Raw genomic sequence first — 19,989 nt, forward strand, 5'->3', positions numbered from 1 at the left:
AAGTTAAAAGAATTAACTTATAATGAGAAACATGACAATCACACAGAGCATTCTCTACTATGGTAGATCTACAAGATGTCCTAGCCCATCAGCCTAGAACCAAAAGGAACAGACCTGAAGTCTGAAAAATTAAGTTTATAGAACCATTTCCAAACAAGGAAAAAGCTGAGTTATTATAGAATTTGAAGGAAGGGTGGAATTAAGGTGAACATTAAATGAAGCAGTGCTTTGATAGGCTCAAAACAAAACAAGACTTTGAGTAGAGGATCAATATCAAGTCTGGACCATGACATGGACTTCAGGCCCTGTTTCCTTAAAAACTACTAAGTTAAGATTGATGTTGAATATTGTGTCTAGACACCCCTTATCTGAAGCTCTATAACTGGCTTGGAAATGGAGGCTGCTTCACTGGGTCAAGGTGACTGAGATCCTCCGGGCAAGAATGGAATATTTCATCCTTAATGATACTATTTCAAATGTGACATTTTGATAGTCTATGATGTTAGATAAACTTGTTTCTTCATGAGTAAGAAGGCAGTAATCCTTCAAAGAAGAAGGAAGGTTGCGTGACACTTTATAGCTGTGGTCCTTAGGAGAAACATTGTTTCCCATAAATATTGTTGCTGGCTTTATAATCATGTCTGTTATTCTAAACTGATGGATGACTGGAGGAATGTTTACTTTCTCAGGGGATGGCAAATGGCTCTCTCAGTTAGCTGGCTGAGCATGTGAGCAGTCCGTACGACCAAGATCATTGTTGTCTCCAGCAGTGGAGAGCACCAGGTGAGGATGGCAGCCACACTCACCTCCCATTGACCTTGACCCTTCCGTCTCTCCTGTGCCTCCCTTATTCCTTAAACCCTTCCCTATTTTCCCTGGTGGTGAGATGGGGAAGACGGAGGTGGCAAAAACTTTCTTTTGATACATCCCTCCTTTACATGTGCTAATATTTTCAGTCAAACTTTTCATCTTTTTGTCTTGGTCCCTTTTGCATTATCTTCATAGCTTAATTCTGAGAGGGTAATGGACATCACATCACATTTCTAAATTATTAGGGGACATATCTCATCATTTCCCCTAAAAATTATTTTTAAAAACTGTATATTAGTTCAATACAAGGAAACATAGACCAAATTATCCTTAGTAAATAATTATAGTTTTGGTTGAAGTCACAATTTGGTTGAATTGTAATTTTAGAAAGCAGTAAGATAATCTCATCCAACACATTTGTTTTAGAAATGACATAATGGAAGCCCAGAGAAGCATAATAATGTGTCAAATTTTGAGGGGGCCGCAGAGCCTGGCCAGATATAGAACAGATGTGTTGATTTCTTTATTGTTAGGGTGAAGGTTGCTAGCCAAATATCTAGCTTCCCCTTCAGCTGAATTAAAATAAAATATTGAAAACAACTTCTAAGTAAAACTGACTATCTTATGTTTACTTGGTAACATGGTAGTTTGTTTATTGTGGGTTAACTCTTTGCCTGACTAAATGAAAGTGAAAATGATATTTTCAGCCCTCCAGCACTTTTTTTTAAAAAAGGAGATGCTTCTACATACACACTTTCCTTTTTAAAAATGTATAGAAAAGTTAATAAATGAGTTCACTTTCAAATCAAAGGTTTCTTGATGTGACTTCTACATAATTTTCTGAATTTTCCAAATGAGGTAGATCTGAAATCCCCAGGGCAATTTCTGTTCATGGATAAGCCGGATAAGCCTGGACTTCCCAAGTGATGTCACAGTGAGACTTGAGCTTCGATAACCAAGAACTTCAAGACCAAACCATCATTTCAAGAGATTATCGAGAAAATGAATGTGAGAAGAGCTTGGTGAGATGTTCAACTGAAATAATATAGTCCTGTTTTCCTTAAGTACTTATAATTACATGTTGAAAATGAACTCTAAAAATTTATTGCTATCCAGTGTCTGAATAACCTGAAGAGAACATTGTAAAAACTGTCTAGCAAGATGTTTACAGCAAAATATTTTTAAGTGATGAAAACAATTTGCAAGACAATCTAGATACTACAATTCAAGTTTGGGTAAAAAACAAAAAAAAGAAAAAGAAAAGAAAAGGAAAGAATGGAAAAAAAAATTACCTGTTGGTAGTTGTGAGTATGTGGAAAAAAATATTTTCAAGGCATCAAAACTATCTGGATGGAAACTCCCCGAACTGTTAGATGTAGTTGCCTCTTGGACTATATGACTGAGAAGGCAGGAGATTTTTATTTTTCACTTTATGATCTTTTGTGTTTATATTGGTTGTACTTAGCATTGCCATATTTATAATTTAAAAATTCAATTAGGAAAAGGTTATTCAAGTTTGAAAACATCACGTCTCACTTGATTTATGACTTATTTAGGTTTGAATATAATTAATATTTAGCAAGAATGTGAATGTGAATTGCTTTTAATTTCAGTATCAATGGCTTAGTAAAGCTCTTTCTGATGCATTAAGATGTAAAGAAATTATACTGAACTCTCTAATATTATTATGTAATATATAATATTATATATGATGTTAATATGTGATATGAGTATTAGAAGCTCTGAATTTGTCAGAAATTTTGTCTATTTGTGAACTCATTGATTCATTTAATAAATGTTTAAGTACTTTCTATGCAGAAGGCTCTGTCTGAGTTAGATATTAGAAACGAACATGAAAAGTTATAGTCCTTACCCCTAAAGGGCTTGTGCTCTGTTGGAATAGACCAGCACACAGAAAATAATTGATACACCGTGAGAAGTGGTATAATAGATAAGTCTCAATGGGATGTGGGGATTCATAGCATTTTCTTTGGAAAATGCTCCCAGGCACACTGAGTTGGTTCCCTGGTAACTGTGCTTATATTGGGTGACACTATTCCTATTGGAATTAAATTAGAACATTAAATTAGAACAGATATATCCTTTTACAACAATATTTTAAATATATAAGTGCATGAAGCTATAATTTTTATGTAATTGAGTGTTGGCTAAATATGAAAGACAATGTAATTGAATTTTTTTTTTTTTTTTGAGACGGAGTCTTGCTATGGCGCCAGGCCAGAGTGCAGTGACATGATCTCAGCTCACTGCAACCTCTGCCTCCCGGGTTCAAGTGATTCTCCTGTCTCAGCCTCCTGAGTAGCTGGGATTACAGGCACATGCCACCATGCCCAGCTAATTTTTGTATTTTTAGTAGAGGCGGGGTTTCACCATGTTGGCCAGGCTGGTCTCCATCTCCTGACTTTGTGATCCGCCTGCCTCGGCTTCCCTGGAATTGAATTCTTATTATGCATGTCAAAGCTTCCAGTTGATAGGCCAGCAGTATTTGAATGAATAATAAAATAATGACATGTACATTCGTAAACTATCATCTATTTATTTAATGAAATATATTTTTATTTCTTTCTATTAATATTTTAGTTGAATTAATATTTATGTCATTATGATTCAGATTTTCACCAAATTTGTATTCTATCAACAGTAAGGCCAATTAAGCCATGTTTTTTGAATCATTATACCTCTCAGTTCTTGTTCCTTTCAGTTTGGGTCAACTTTACTCTCCTGAGGCAGCAGTGGAAATTGTCAATAAAATTCTTAAAGCAATACTGATATTCACAATGAACAACGAAATTTACATACAATGTTTAATCATTGTCATGGAGCTACCTATAATAAATTGTCATGATCATAGAATCTATTATAAGCTATTTTAATTGCATATGTCACTATCACAAAACTTTCATGGTCTCTTAGCAATATCCATAGAATACTTCTTAAGTTTTTCTTCTTTCAAAAATTCAATGTTGTAATATTATAAAAATGAAAAAGCAATAAAATATTGCTCAATGTATTGAAATTTCTCTTTATTTAAGACTATATCTGGACCTATAATATGTTCAGAAAATAAACTCTATAGAAATTCCTTTAGAGATTATGGGTACATGACTCCTCTCCTTCACAGATATGCAGACATTCTTATTTCCCCTTTCTTTATTGGAATGCACTTTTGTTATTTCACCTGCTGTTTCTTTCAATTTAGAAAAAAAACCTCATTTCTAACATTTTATTACACTTTCAGTTTTTTAAAAGTTAACCGAAAGTAATTTGAGTTTGTTTTAAGCTTTTGCTAACATAACTAGTAACAGGTATCAGTTTACACCAAATAACTAAATTCAAGATTAATTCATTTTCTGTCAAATAATGAATTTTCTCTTACTTTGGGATTTTCTACTACTTTGCTTTCTTCTAGTTGTTTCATATATTTTACTTAAATAAAATTTAATTGCTATAGCAGCATTTAGTTGCCATTCTCATTGTGTGTCTGAGTATAGTGGTAAAGTTATATTTGATGAGCATATTCAGAAAACATCTAATATAATAATGAATTGCTCCACAAAATGTCATTGCTGTTGAACTATTGACACAGTGGAGGGTTTGTCTCATGTGACAAATCCAAACCATGCACTATGTGGTACAAAGAATGCTTTTTAAATTTTAGCCCAAATTCTGTCTTGTACATTTGTTTTTAAAGCAACTGTGTTGATGCCATTATCATAGCTCCGCCTAGATAACCTTTCAAATTAATGCCTACCACTGAAAATTGTGTTTTTTAAATGTCTTCATTTTAATCAAAACCCAAGCTTTTACCAACATGTATAAAACAAACTAAACACTCTTAAATTTTCATTTTTGGGGGTTGGTTCAAACATTTGAATAATAAAAGTTATTTTCAACATGAATTTTGTTTCTGGTACAATATAGTTGAACTTAGTATTTTTAGATTTTTATTTTGTGGATGATTTATTTTCTCACTTTATTACACATAAAATTTTCAAATCTTGTTTTGGGTTATTTTTACATAGTAATAACTAGTTTCTTTCTTTTTAAAATTAAGTTAAATTTAATTTTAAGTTCTGGGCTACATGTGCAGAACGTTTGCTACATACATTTGTGCAGGTTTGTTATATGGGTAAACATGTGCCATGGTGGTTTGCTGCACCTATCAACCCATCACCTCGGTGTTAAGCCCCACATGCATTAGCTATTTATCCTGATGCTCTACCTCCCACAGCTCCCCCAACAGACCCCAATGTGTGTTGTTCCCTTCCCTGTGTCCATGTGTTCTCATTGTTCAGCTCCCACTTATAAGTGAGAACATGCAGTGTTTGGTTTTCTGTTCCCATGTTAGTTTGCTGAGGATAATGCCTTCCAGATCCATCCATATCCCTGCAAAGGACATGATCTTGTTCCTTTTATTGCTGCATAGTATTCCACGGTGTATATGTACCACATTTTCTTTATCCAGTCTATCACTGATGGGCATTTGGGTTGATTCCATGTCTTTGCTATTGTGAATAATGCTGCAATGAAAATACGCATGCATGCATGCATCTTTATAATAAAATGATTTATATTCCTTTGGGTATATACTCAGTAATGGGATTGCCGAGTCAAATGTTATTTTTGGTTCTGTAGGTCTTTGAGGAATCACCACACTGTCTTCCACAGTGGTTGAACTAATTTACATTCCCTTTAACAGTATAAAAGCATTCCTATTTCTCCACAGCCTCACCAGCACCTGTTGTTCCTTGACTTTTTAATAATCGCCATTCTGACTGGCTTGAGATAGTATCTCATTGTGGTGGTTTTGATTTGCATTCTCTAATGATCAGTGATGTTGAGCTTTTTGCATATGTTTCTTGGCCACATAAATGCCTTCTTTTGAGCAGGGGCTGTTCATGTCTTTTGCCCAATTTTTAATGGGGTTGCTTGTTTTTTTCTTGTAAATTTGTTTAAGTTCCTTGTAGATTCTGGCTATTAGACCTTTGTCAGATGGATAGATTGCAAAAATTTTCTTCCATTCTGTAGGATCTCTGTTCACTCTGATGATAGTTTCTGTTGCTGCACAGAAGCTCTTTAGTTTAATTGGGTCCCATTTGTCAATTTTTGCTTTTGTTGCAATTGCTTTTGGTGATTTTGTTGTGAAATCTTTGACTGTGCCTATGTGCGGAATGGTATTGCCTAGATTTTCTTCTAGGATTTTTACAGTTTTGGATTTTACATTTAAGTCTTCAGTCCATCTTGAGTTGAGTTTTGTATGAGGTGTAAGGAAGGGGTCCAGATTCAATTTTCTGCATGTGGCTAGCCAGTGTTCCCAACACCGTTTATTAAATAGGGAATCCTTTCAATGGAATAGAATAGAGATCTTAGAAATAAGACCACAAATCTACAACTTTCTGATCTTTGACATTTGTTTATTTTTATTCAGCTTACATGTTCAAACATCATAGCATAACTTTTCTCAATAATTTCTATTTAAACTAAAAATTTTCCAGTGTTTTCTGAAAATGTTTGTTGTTTGTGTTATGAAAAGCTTGGGATAAATATGAAATACATAACATTTTAAAAAAATATATCATGCTAATATCCTATGTCTTTCTTTACAGAGTACTGTCAATTTTTGCTATTTAAATTTTTAAAAAGTTCTAGTAATTGCACATTTTGTTTTGTGTGTTTATGTATATATGCACAACTGATATATTTGTGTTCTTTTAATTGAGATCCTAAGTGTTGTTAGCAACAAATACCTTCATTTTGAAGATTAGTTGTGAAGCATTTGACAGTAGTAACACAGTATTTTGTTTTTGACATTAAAACGTAAGTCAGTTTTAACATTTTTCTCTCCATTTGAGAGAATTTTGATATAAAATGGAGTATAACATTTTCTGCAATGTTCAGGCAATGAAAAATCAAAATCGTTTATTTGCTGCAGAGTGTATTTTGCAAGAAACATTCTCACACTGTCAGAAAGTTCACATGGACTGTTTTCTAGGATCATCATCTAATAAACAGTAAAGTTCCAGAGGTTCTGTCTTTCTCATTCAACTTATAATGCATGAATGTCATTTTTTTTGCATCTTTTAAAGGGAAATGCAGAGATGCATTTGATGTTTTTGGGTTGTGATTTTGATATGAATATCTTTTCAAATCTTCTTTGTTTTGATAAGTAATTAAATCTTCATTTGATAAGAAATATTCATATTTTAAAATGTGAATTATTGAATTTTCTTAGTTGCAGGAATTTCATCAGGGGCATACAAGTCGTGGATTTGACTGGGACAATTTCTTGTACATTTCCATTGTTTTTAACAGTAAGTAAAACCTCAGTGTATATAGAATTTGTAATATCTTATTCATAAATCTTATGTAGATTATGCTTAACATACATTTGTTCAATTTAGTTGTGAGTTTAAACAATTTAAGAAAACATCCTCTTTGAAGATTATTTCTTCTTTCTATTTTGGGGTTACTTTTACATTTTCTACTTCTTTTGTGATTTTGACTGTAGTCATTCCTAAGGATCTAAAAGATTAAAAAATTAAATGTAATTTTACCACGTGTTCATTCAAAATTGCAACTTAGAATATATATACAATTTTAAAAATTAAATGTAGTTTTCCAAAGGAAGTGTTTTCTTCTAAAATATTTAAAATCATTTCTTACAATTAAGCAGTAAAACACAAATTGTAATTGATGGATTGTATAATTTTATTCAAAATTAGTTAAATCAAGCTGAATTTTAAAATTTTTATAATTTTAATAAAATTTTGTTGTTTCATAAAAACAATACTGTTTGTAATTTTACCATTTAATGTCCAACTAGTTGACAATGAAAAGAATTAACACTATGTTTAAGTGATATTATAGACCTATATATATACAAATTTCAAAGCAATCTGAATTGCTTAACATTCCAAAATGTTTCTCAGCTGCTACATGTTAACTATTATGAATGCCACCCTAAAATCATAAGTGCCTCTGGAGCTGCAAATGGTAACAAGAAGAGAAATAAATGAATAGATGTTCAGCGCTATTGGGAAACAGACTTTCATTATAAGGGAATCTATTCCATTTATGGTATCTGATAACATGGATTTTACAAGTTAATTTATTTGCCTTTATTCTTTTCTATGTGCAAGAGCTACTCAAATCTCCCCTGCACTCTAAAGCACTGTTTGCCTCAAGCATCCACAGCAGCACAATCCAGAAAGTCTCATGGAATCCAAATGTGGTTGCCTTGTACTTAAGAGCCTAAGACAAGATACATAGAGAAATGTTTCCCTGAGGATTTAGAATTACCGCTTGTGTTGCACCAAGAACTACATGCAGAATCCCAGTGATAAAGAGACCCATCTGTTTTTTAATACCTTTTTTTTCATAGTTTTGTCATACCCAGGGCCCTCTGAAGTGTGGAGCCCAGGGCCCTCTGAAGTGTGGAGCCCAGGGCCCTCTGAAGTGTGGAGCCCAGGGCAGGGACCAGCCTTGCCTGAGTCTGAAAGAAAATATTGGCTGGGTCATTTGGATTTTTCTTCTTATGATTTTGGAATTTAGAACTAAGGTTGCTGGGAGCTGAGCCATGTTCATGGCAGAGGAACGGAACTTCCCTTTGTGGAAGTTCCTGGATCTTCCAGAGCCTGGGGAGTTTTCCTCTTCCTTGGATTCCAGGAGATATGTTAATATTCTTTTAATAAATGCCTTTTTTGTGTAGAAATGCTTGTTTGGTTTCTGATAGTTGTAACCTAAAAAATCTTTAGTAAGCCATTGGTCTGCTGTGGGGAGCGTCGAGATGAAACTGGAACGTTGTTTGAACCTAGATCATAAAGTGACTCCAACATCTTCATACCAGGGGTAGGAAACATGCTTGGGAAACATACTGTCTCTTTAGCTTGTCAAATTACCTTAGAATAATTGTATAAAGGTCTCTATTCAGCACTTTCCATTGTTTCACATATGATTATATGATGTCATTGGATGAGGAGGATTTTCCTTTCAATAGGCGGCTTTGGGTGTGGGCTGTGTGTCAGGGAAATAGGAGCTGTAATTGTCTCCTCTTATCGTTCTATCAGACTCTCTCAGCTTCTAGCAGGTAGGGGAGGACTGAGATTTTAGATACTAATTTATCTCAATCTTGTTCGAATCAAGTCTTTCTTGTTTCAGAGAGGAGGAAGCTGTGCTGTGAAGGATCCTTTTTCATCATGATTATTGCATCCACAGAAGCAGTGATAAATTCTAACAGATAATGCAACTCAGTCTACTTGGATGTTCACACCTGAGACTGGAGAAGACCTGCTGCCTTCTGCAGAGCCAAACATTCCTCACATGCTCCTCCACAATGCTGTGAGCCATATTTATTCATTTAAAAGCTAGTACCTCGCTATTTCTTGTACATTAATTCTTTTAAAACGTTTACAAAACAAACTAAATTTAAAGAGGAAATTATTTACTGATAGAACTAATAGCCTGAAAATAGTTGCCCAACATAGCATCGCACATAGCAACAGGAAGTAGTTTATATACTAGGAAGTCTCTTTAAAATGTGCTTGGATATTGCCAAAATTCTCTGCCTTATAAACTAAGGAGTTCTTTTTTTTATTTTTTAGAGTTAATGCAGCAAGAATAGTCTTATATAGACTATAAACTCCTGGTACACTGTGTCTACATTGCTCACTGCAGTATCCCAACATCTAAGACCATGGTCTTAGATGTCTGGTACAGGACTGGTGCTCAGTATGCATTGAATGAATAAATGAATGAATATAGCAAAGCATTCCATGATGTTCTCTTGAATTCATTTATTCTTTGGAATTTGGTTATTTTTTTTTGTTTTTTTGGTGCAGTGGTTATGTACTACTAGGGGTATGATATGGGTTCTTCAATAAATCTCTTCAAATTATAATAAAGATTTAGCGCTAACCTTCTGCTCACTATCTCCCTCTAAGTACTACAGATGGATGTGATTAGCATGCAATTTATCATCTTGATGGAATTCATGTCTTACAGGCCTATGGCTTTCAAAATTGAAGTATCTAGATTTATGTTATTTTGTCAAATAGGAAATGGTTTTACTCTATTGAGATTCCTACACTTAAAAATTTATATAGACCTTAAAAAAATCCTAAAGAAGAGTTTGAAAAGTATGGTTAGGCATTCTTCTAGCCATATAGACTATAGAGGAGAATAAGTTTAAGGAAATCATCAAGTAAAGTCAAGAACATAGTAAAAATGGTAACATACCACCTTCATGTAAGATAAAACCAGATAAGATTTTAAAAAGAAGCATTTATGCTATGCTTAGGAAGCCAATCCTGTTGAAAAAACTGATATTGCAGCCATATCTGTCTGTGAGTAGTTGTAACAATGCTGTAGGTAACATTTCTGAGAGCATGATACAGTGTAGGGGGAATCGATCTGTGGTCTTGGGGTCCTTGGGGAAAAGGGTATATGAAGAGTTCTTCCAAAGTGGCCTCTAAATCCACCTGTGTAGTAAACAGTGTCTGACAACTAAATAAATAATTTCCATGTGTACTTACGGCTGTGTTTTAAATGGATGCAAGGGCTGGAGTGATAACTACAGTTCAATTTGTGAAAAGATTTATAGATTTTGTAGCACTTGCAGATTTTATGGACTTTCTCTGCAATTAAATATTTATAGTTCAGTGCTATGGTTTGAGTGTGTTTTCCAAAAGTTCATGTGTTAGAACCTTGGTCCTCAGGATGGCAGTGTCGGCAGGTGGGCCTAGTTGACGGTGTTTGGTCATGGGGGCTCTGCCCTTATGAAGAGATTAACGCAGTTCTCATGGAACTTGGTTAGTTCTTAAAGAGTGGGTTGTAAAGCAGGTTGGCACACTGTCTCCCCTCTCCTGCTTCTCCACAATGCTATGAAGCAGCACAAGGCCCTCACCAGATGCAACCCCACAATCTTGGACTTCCCAGACTCCAGAATCATGAGCTAAATCAACTACTTTCCTTTCAAGTTATCCAGTTTCAGGTGTTCTATTATAGCAATAAAAAACAAACTAAGACATTCAGCTAGCACAGAAGGGTCAGCCTGCTGAAATGCATTGGGAGCAAGTGCAATGAAACTGAAAGATGGTCAGGGAAGTCCGCCTCCCTCTGGCTCCATCAACTCAGAATAAGCAAGAATGTTTGATACCACTAGGATAATATTTTTTGGGCATGTGTAGCGTATACTATTAAGAGGCTCATAATTTTGAACCTTTGAGAGAATTTTGGCAAGATCTGGGCTGAAGCTTATCTTTGCCCTCTTTATGATGTTTTGAAAATTAAAAATGTGTTACCATTGAAGTAGATAAATTTAAGAAAAATAATGACTACATTACAGCATACGATTAATAACTAATTATAGGTCATTTTATTGAAACAATACATTCTATTAGGAGGTATTTTGTTTTACTAGATCAAGTTATCATATGCACTAAGTAAAAGATATATTGCAAAAATACTTTGTAAACTCTGAAGTACTAAAAATGCTGAGGTTACATACTTACAAGCAATAAAATTAGTTATATTTTAAAATACTTTAATAATTGCAAAAATAAAAAATCAATAGCTTTCATATACACAAAAATAACCAGTTAGAAAATATAAAGCAAAAAAACCCATTTATAATAGCAATAGGAAAAATAAAATATTTAGGAATAAGCTTAAAAAGTGTTCAAAGCCTAAATGAAGAAAATTATAAACATTCCTGAAAGACACAAAGGTAGAGGTGACCTAACAGAAATACATCTTGAGGTCTTGGTTAGGATGTCTCAATGGTATTTGGATGTCAGTTTTCTCAAAGGTAATTCATAAATTTGATAAAATTCCAATAAAACAGAAATCCCTTTTCTTTCTGTAGCTAGCCAAATTAATACTAAAGTTCATATGGAGAAATAAACATGGTAGGGAAATACTGAAAAGGAATAAATATAGCGTGTCGATGGGGGGGTGAGGTGAAGTAACAGAGACCAGCCATACTCACATTAAAACATACTATAAAGTCTCTGCTTTAAGAACAGTGTGGTACTGGCACATGAACAGATAGAACAGAATAGAAAGTCCAGAAACAGACCCAACAACATATGGAAATCTAGACTATGACAGAGGTGGTATTATCTCAAATCTTAGGGAACAAATGGGCTTTTAAACAAAGATGGTGGGGCAACTGGACAGACAGTTGAGGAAAAGATAAAATTATGTCCACTTCTCACACACATAAGAATACGTGCTAAATGGATTCAAGGTCTGAATGTAACTATACAAGTGCCAGAATGAAACCGAAATGAATCTCTCTAAAATTTGATTGTAGGTAGATTTCTGACTATACCTCAAAAGCCACAGGAAAGAGAAGAAATGCTTAACAGATCTGACTACAAAAAAAGCAAGTGGCAAAAACAATAAACAAAGTTAAAAGACAAATAACAAATTGGAAGAAAATATTTTAAGTATTTAATCACAGATACAGAGTTAATATCCCTATTATGTAAGAATTTGTAAAATTGAGGAAACACTGACAGTACTATCTTAAAGTGGGCACAAGACATGAAAATTTCCCAAAAAGAGATATAAACATGGCCCTTAAACATAGAAAAACATGTACAATTTCACTCGTGAAATTAAAATTGAAACTACACAGAGACTCTTCTCATTCACCAGATTAGCAACTATTCAAAAGCTTGATAATACATTCCATTGAAGAGACTCTAGGGAAATACACACTCTCAAACACTGATCATGGAAATGCAAAATGGTATAGCCTCATGAAGGGGGATTTGTCAATATCTAACAAAACCACACAGACATTTACTCTTCAATTAAGGAGTCCTAATTCCAGGAATATATCATGAAGATACATCTTCAAAATACCAAAATATGGGTCAGTTGTAGTGGCTCATGCCTGTAACCCCAGCAATTTGGTAGACTGAGGCAGGCAGTTACAGACCAGCCCGGCCAACATGGCAAAGACCCATCTCTACTAAGAATACAAAAAAATTTAGCCAGGCGTGGTAGCATGTTCCTGTAATCCCAGCTACGCAGGAGGCTGAGGCACGAGAATTGTTTGAACCTGGGAGGTGGAAGTTACAGTGAGCCAAGATTGCGCCACTGCACTTCAGCCTGGAAGATAGAGCCAGACTCTGTCAAAAAAAAAAAAAAAAAAAAAAAAAAAAGGAAGTACATACATACAAGGTTCTTAACTGCAGCATTATTTGTAATAGCAAAATATTGGGAACTATCTGAATACCTTGGAGTACTTCACACAACAGAGTACTACACAATTTCACTAAAAAGTATTTCTATGAACTTCAGGAGATAAGTTTTTTTTTAAAGCCAATTGTAGAAGAGCATCTACAATATGCTACCTTTTGTGTAAGCAAGGAGAAATAAGAAAATACACAAGTCTGCTCTTTTTTGGAAAAAGAAACACAGGAAAAATAAACCAGAAGACAATGAAATCACTTACCTACAAAAGGTGAGGGAAAATCAGACAGAAGTGATAGAGAAGGCAGTGATACTTCTCTGCATAAACCTCTACGAAATGGATAACATTACTACATTGAAGTGGGGGTTGCAGGGGCAAAGAACTAATTCAGGTAACTTTAAAGACAACACTTTGATAATATACTTTTACTCTAGGGAAAAAAATAAAGAACTTCAAATGCATCTTAATTTCTTTTTACTTGATTTGATTTGATATGCATGGTGATTTGGGTATAGCAATTCTGAAACGATTTTATGTGTGTTTTAGAACTGGGAAAATGAGTCAGTGTTCTGATGCTGTTGAAAGGCAGAATTCTCATTGTGGAAGAAGGGAGATTCAAAGATGGAGTGGGTGGGGGGAAGGCAAAAAAGAAACTCGTGGAGTGGGATTGATATTGAAAGTATCAGTATAACTGCAGAATTTCTATGACATGTATAGACAAGCCTTTGTGTGTGTGTATGTGTGTATGCATCTCTGTGTGTGTAGCTTTCTTAGCTCTATCCTCAAAAAGGGCCTGGAGGCAGACCCCCTCAGTAACAATGAAAACATCTAGTGCTAAGATTTTGGTTTCTAAATACCATTCCCCATGATAAGTAAAGAGAGGTCCTTTGAGAAATGGCTGATTCCTGCGCTGGAACAGGGATGCTACTTGATGGGTCTGAAATATCTTGTTGAACCAGAAAGCAAGAAAGTGTTGTTTTAAACAAAAATTATGGGAGCATATCAAAAGGGAGCCAGCTTAAAGGGGATCCAACTTTCCAAGTCTGTGACAATCTGAGCATTAAAAGTATTAATAACAAAGGCCGAGTATGGTGGCTCATGCCTGTAATCCCAGCACTTTGGGAGGCTGAGGTGGGCAGATCACAAGGTCAGGAGTTCGAGACCAGCCTGGCCAAAGTGGTGAAACCCCGTCTCTACTAAAAAATACAAAAATTAGCTGGGTATGGTGGTAAGCGCCTGTAATCCCAGCTATTCAGGAGGCTGAGGCAGGAAAATCACTTGAAACCAGAAGGTGGAGGTTGAAGTGAGCCAAGATTGTGCCAGTGCACTGTAGCCTGGGGGAAAAAATGAAACTCCTTCTCAAAAAAAAAAAGCATTAATAAGAAAAATGAAGTATAACCCATGGATAAAATTGGAATCTATATATTCATACTAATAATAGGGAAGAAGGGAGAGAGGAAGAGAGGCAAAGAGGAGAGAAGTGAGAGAGGGGAGAGAAGAAAGAGGAAAGGGAGAGAGAGAGAGAGGAAAGGGGAGGGAGAGAGACATTTCTTATAGAACAAAAGAACACCTACCAATAAATGTGGAGAGAGTGGGTAAACATGTAATATCAACAGTTTACAGCCATTATAGCAAACTTGAATTAGAGCAAGAATCAAGTTTAGGAAGAAAAGTGTGATGAGGAGTAGAATATTTGCATGGGCTTAAAGTGTCTTTCAACATATTGCTTACTAGTTGCAAGGGAGAAAATAGAAATTCTATAGTGAAGAAAATGAACAAGAGTTTGATCAGGTGATCAAAATTAATATAATGAATGAATGAGGAGCAGATGGATATTTTATGCCTGGGATACCTGAGGAGGACACAGAATTGTTTATGTAGTTTTGTGGCCAGGGAGGAAACATCAGCAAACCCAAATGGAGAAACATTCCATAAAACTACTGGCTTTTGCCATGAAAGGCAAAGGAAAGACTAAGGAACTGATCTAGGTTAAAAGAGACTAAAGAAACAGACAACTAAATGTAATCCATGGTCCTGTACTGGCTTCTGGACTGGAAAGGGTAAAAAAGTTATAGAGGACATTACTGAGATAATTGGAAAAAATATACATAAAACTATTGCATCAAAGTGTCCTGAATTTGATAACTGTACTATGGTTATGTAAGAGAATGCCAGGCTGGGCACAGTGGCTCACGCCTGTAATCCCAGCACTTTGTGAGGCCGAGGTGGGTGGATCATGAGGTCAAGAGTTCAAGACCAGCCTGACCAACATGGTGAAACCCCATCTCTACTAAAAATACAAAAATTATCTGGGCGTGGTGGCACACACCTGTAATCCCAGCTACTCAGGAGGCTGAGGCAGGAGAATTGCTTGAACCTGGGAGACTGAGGTTGCAATGAGCCAAGATCACAGCACTGTACTCCAGCCTAGGTGACAGAGTGAAATTCTGTCTCAAAAATAAATAAATAAATAAAGAATAAAGAATGTCCTTAGTCTTAGGCAATAATTAGAAAATATTAAGAGGTAAAAGAAAGTGTAAAAGGCTTACCCCTCAAATGATTCAAAAAATATAAAAGAGTACAGACATGGGCAAACAGAAAAACAATGATTTTTAAATTGTGGTTAAAATGTTAAAAATTTTAGAAATCTGGGTAAAGGATATATGAATATTTTATGTATTGTATAAAAAATTTTGTAAGTTTGAAATTATTGCAAGAAGTTTTTCTAAACATATGATTAAAAGATTTAAAAAATTCTGACTGCTCTTCACCCAAATAGATTGAAATTAGTAAGAAATGGCTCTAATTTGTAGTACCCTGGGAGCCTGTGAAAATTTCTATAATGATACCCACCTAGTCTCTATGAGTGAATCACACGCCAGAAACATCTGCCCTGTGATTCTATGGAGATTTCTGACATCTATAAATTTGAAGGAGTATGTTTGAGAAGAAAAGCAGAAGTTTCCTGCTACTTAAGTCTAGAATGAAACAGGATTCATAATCTCTATATTTCGGAGCTAATCAAGTGGCAATGTCAATGGGGGAAATCCAGGTCAACTTTAATTCCCATCATGACTAAGTGGCAGAAAGACTCAGAATACAATGACCTAGAACTGACCTCAGGGAGAAATCACAGTCAAATCAAGATCGCTAATTTCCAGGATTCTTGGTAAGGATGACTCAGCAATTCATAAATCTCAACATTTACAATAAACACAAACCTACGTCACATGTCTTTTACTCTCAAATAGGTAGTACAGTACCAAGCTGCTTCTCAGGACTACATATAGTGTTTATATATTCTTTAAAAAGATAAGTTCAGATAGAGACATAGTTTACCAAGTATAAAGGAAATGTATATAACCGTCTTAAATGTATTAGACATTAAAAATCTAGTATGCTCATTACCCACCTTGAATTTCTTAGCTCTGGAAGATAGCATATTCTTCAAAAGCTATCAGTTTCATTACCTAAGAAATAGAGACAATATTGATTTTCTTCAAATGTGTTCAACCCTTTTGTTCAAAAAGTAGTCATGTTTTCATTTGAAAGAGAAATCCTAGAAACTGTGTGGTCTGATTGCTTATCCGTTGGTGTATTCTCATAGCATCTCTGGCTTCCCTGTTGATTTATAATACAGCATCATTCAAGGTAAAAAAGAAATTGCTACACTGTGAGTCAATTCATTGCAAATAAGGAATACAAGTTTCAGCTCTGATGTTGATTGTATGATTTAGAGCAAATAATTTATCTCTTTTGGCCTTAGGTTTGTTTGGTTGGTTGGTTGTTTTTGTTTGTTAGTTCTTTGAGACAGGGTCTCACCCAGTCACCCAATTTGGAGTGCAGTGGCGCAATCACGGCTCACTGCAGCCTTGACCTCCTGGCCCAAGTGATCTGCCACCTCAGCCTCCCAAGTAGCTGGGAGTACAGATGCATGCCAACGTGCCTGGCTATTTTTTTTTTATAGAGACAGTGTTTTGCCATCTTGCCCATGCTGGTCTCAAACTGCTGGGGTCAAGTGATCCACCCACCTTGGACTCTCAAAGTCCTAGGATTACAGGTGTGAGCCATAATGCCCAGCCCAGGCCTTAGTGTTTTGTTTTTGTTTTTGTTTTTTATAAAGTAAAGCTTCACAAGAAGGGCAAGCAAAACAGTGAGGGTTCTAGAAACCATATGACTTAGAGAATGGTTACCAGAACTGGAGAGATGTCAAGTTTAGACTTGAGGGTTGGATTTGGCTTATGACAGCTGCCTTTCCATGGTGATGAAGGAGAAGAGTGAGACTTGGTATATGGCTCAATGAGCAGGATGAAGCTGTGAGGTGGAAGCGCCAGCAAAGTGGATGGTAGAAAAAAGTTTAAAATGCTAGAGAATTTCCTAACAATTGAGCTGTGCTACAAGGAGGGAACTGTTTCAGGGGTCACTAGTGGAGCCAAAGGAGACCTTAGATAATTTGGAATAGCAAAAGTTCAGCATCATGCAAGATACTGAACTTCTAGATAACCAAAACACCCAATTCTTTTTATTTATTTATTTATTTGTTATACTTTAAGTTCTAGGATACATGTGCACAATGTGCAGGTTTGTTACATATGTATACATGTGCCATGTCGGTTTGCTGCACCCATTATCTTGTCATTTACATTAGGTATTTCTCCTAATGCTATCCCTTCCCCCTCCCCCGACCCCATGACAGGCCCCTGTGTGTGATGTTCCCCGCCCTGTTTCCAAGTGTTCTCATTGTTCAATTCCCACCTATGAGTGAGAACATGCGGTATTTAGTTTTCTGTCCTTGTGATAGTTTGCTCAGAGTAATGGTTTCCAGCTTCATCCATGTCCCTACAAAGGACACGAACTCATCCTTTTTTATGGCTGCATAGTATTCCATGGTGTATATGTGCCACATTTTCTTAATCCAGTCTATCATTGATGGAAATTTGGGTTGGTTCCAAGTTTTTGCTTTTGTGAATAGTGCCACAATAAACATATGTGTGCATGTGTCTTTATATTAAAATGATTTATAATCCTTTGGGTATATACCCAGTAATGGGATCGCTGGGTCAAATGGTATTTCTAGTTCTAGATCCTTGAGGAATTGCCACACTGTCTTCCACAATGGTTGAACTAGTTTACAGTCCTACTAACAGTGTAAAAGTGTTCCTATTTCTCCACATCCTCTCCAGCACCTGTTGTTTCCTGCCTTTTTAATGATCGCCATTCTAACTGGTGTGAGATGGTATCTCATTGTGGTTTTGATTCGCATTTCTCTGATGGCCAGTGATGATGAGCATTTTTTCATGTGTCTGTTGGCTGCATAAACGTCTTCTTTTGAAAAGTGTCCGTTCCTATCCTTTGTCCACTTTTTGAGGGGGTTGTTTGATTTTTTCTTGTAAATTTGTTTAAGTTCTTTGTAGATTCTGGATATTAGCCCTTAGTCAGATGGGTAGATTGCAACAATTTTCTCCCATTCTGTAGGTTGCCTGTTCACTCTGATGGTAGTTTCTTTTGCTGTGCAGAAGCTCTTTAGTTTAATTAGATCTTATTTGTGTATTTTGGCTTTTGTTGCCATTGCTTTTGGTGTTTCAGTCATGAAGTCCTTGCCCATGCCTATGTCCTGAATGGTATTACCTAGGTTTTCTTTTAGGGTTTTTATGATTTTAGGTCTAACATGTTAAGTCTTTAATCCATCTTGAATTAATTTTTGTATAAGGTGTAAGGAAGGGATCCAGTTTCAGCTTTCTACATATGACTAGCCAGTTTTCCCAGCACCATTTACTAAATAGGGAATCCTTTCCCCATTTCTTTTTTTTGTCCTGTTTGTCAAAGATCAGATGGTTGTAGATGTGTGGTGTTATTTCTGAGGCTTCTGTTCTGTTCCATTGGTCTATATCTCTGTTTTGGTACCAGTAGCAGGCTGCCCAAACACCCAATTCTAAGTTAAGGTGATTCTTCATCTAATTTGGCCTAAGATTGAATTAGCGTGTTTAAGAAATTAAAGCAAGTTCTTGACTCATATTCAGCTTGGGATCGGTTAAAGCCCCTAGATCTTTTTCACGAGAATGCCTGCATAGTCAGACTTCCCAAACCTGTACTTGAACAGCAAGTTCTTTATTTTTATGGGTGATGTAAACGTGGAAAGTCTCAGCATAGATAATTGTCAGCACATGAAATTTCAGCAACTGAATAGACAAATTAGATACCATGCACCAGTGAGTCAACAACTAATTATATTTGTTAAGCTGGTAAAACATTCTGACTTCTTGAGGTGTCTAATCTAGGCTTGCCTACTCTTTTAGGGGATCTTTTAAAACTGTTTCTATGCTGGTATATAATCTCATATTCCTCCTACTGTTATTTTATTAAGTACCTCATTTTATTTTTATTTTCTACATGGTTCAGCCTAGTTGTTTCTATTAAAGCCAAGATAACTTCAATTGCTCAACAACAAGGTGAACTTGAACTGCTGAGCATGATCAATCTCATCAAATTGGCAAATGCTTATTGAGGGTCTATCTATCACATGCTGTGCTTGATGCAGTGAGAAATATGAAAGTATGGAATTGTGGCTTTAAATAATGTGTAATCTACTTGAGGGCTCTGGGAGTATAACTCACAATGCAATCAGTCTGTGATGAGTTAAGTGAGTGGAGGGGATAATAAGCACTTACAGGAATTGAAAAGATACCATCTCTTGGAGTGATGTGATCAGGGAAGTTTTTATAGAAATAGTAAAATTTGAAGGATGTTCAGAAAATGACAAGGTCTTTTTGTTTTGTTTTGTTTGTTTTGTTTTGTTTTGTTTTGTTTTACTTTCTCTTTCCATTATCAACCAAGGGAGATTAATTCAAGAAATAGAGGTGTGTCTTAAGAATTCCAAGAGGAGAAAGACAGCCAGACCTCAGGAAGCAATCATAATAAGGCTCGGAAAACCCCAAGCCTTTTCTTTCAGTATCTCC

At 35.6% G+C, this 19,989-nt stretch overlaps 2 long non-coding RNA genes across 2 annotated transcripts, besides 1 other annotated feature; one reads left to right on the forward strand and one right to left on the reverse strand.

Annotated features, from left to right (window-relative positions):
* The first annotated feature begins 689 nt into the window (after positions 1–689).
* LINC03004 (long intergenic non-protein coding RNA 3004) lies at positions 690–9,598 on the forward strand. The gene is made up of 4 exons (NR_125867.1): positions 690–783; positions 7,064–7,142; positions 8,989–9,168; positions 9,432–9,598. It is a non-coding gene; the product is annotated as a long intergenic non-protein coding RNA 3004 (long non-coding RNA).
* LOC105378018 (uncharacterized) lies at positions 6,736–8,325 on the reverse strand. Its single transcript, XR_943058.3, has 2 exons — positions 8,199–8,325; positions 6,736–7,353 (listed from the first exon to the last, which is right to left on the reverse strand). It is a non-coding gene; the product is annotated as an uncharacterized LOC105378018 (long non-coding RNA).
* Positions 16,037–17,236: an enhancer, noted in NCBI's record as "MED14-independent group 3 enhancer chr6:138002130-138003329 (GRCh37/hg19 assembly coordinates)". NCBI's record gives its function as "activates an origin of replication core promoter dependent on BRD2, BRD4, P300/CBP and CDK7 cofactors, and independent of MED14, by STARR-seq in HCT116 cells {active_cell/tissue: HCT116}" and the evidence as "EXISTENCE:reporter gene assay evidence [ECO:0000049][PMID:35650434]".

The sequence above is a fragment of the Homo sapiens genome, chromosome 6 (genome assembly GCF_000001405.40).
Source record: "Homo sapiens chromosome 6, GRCh38.p14 Primary Assembly".
Lineage (NCBI taxonomy): Eukaryota > Metazoa > Chordata > Mammalia > Primates > Hominidae > Homo > Homo sapiens.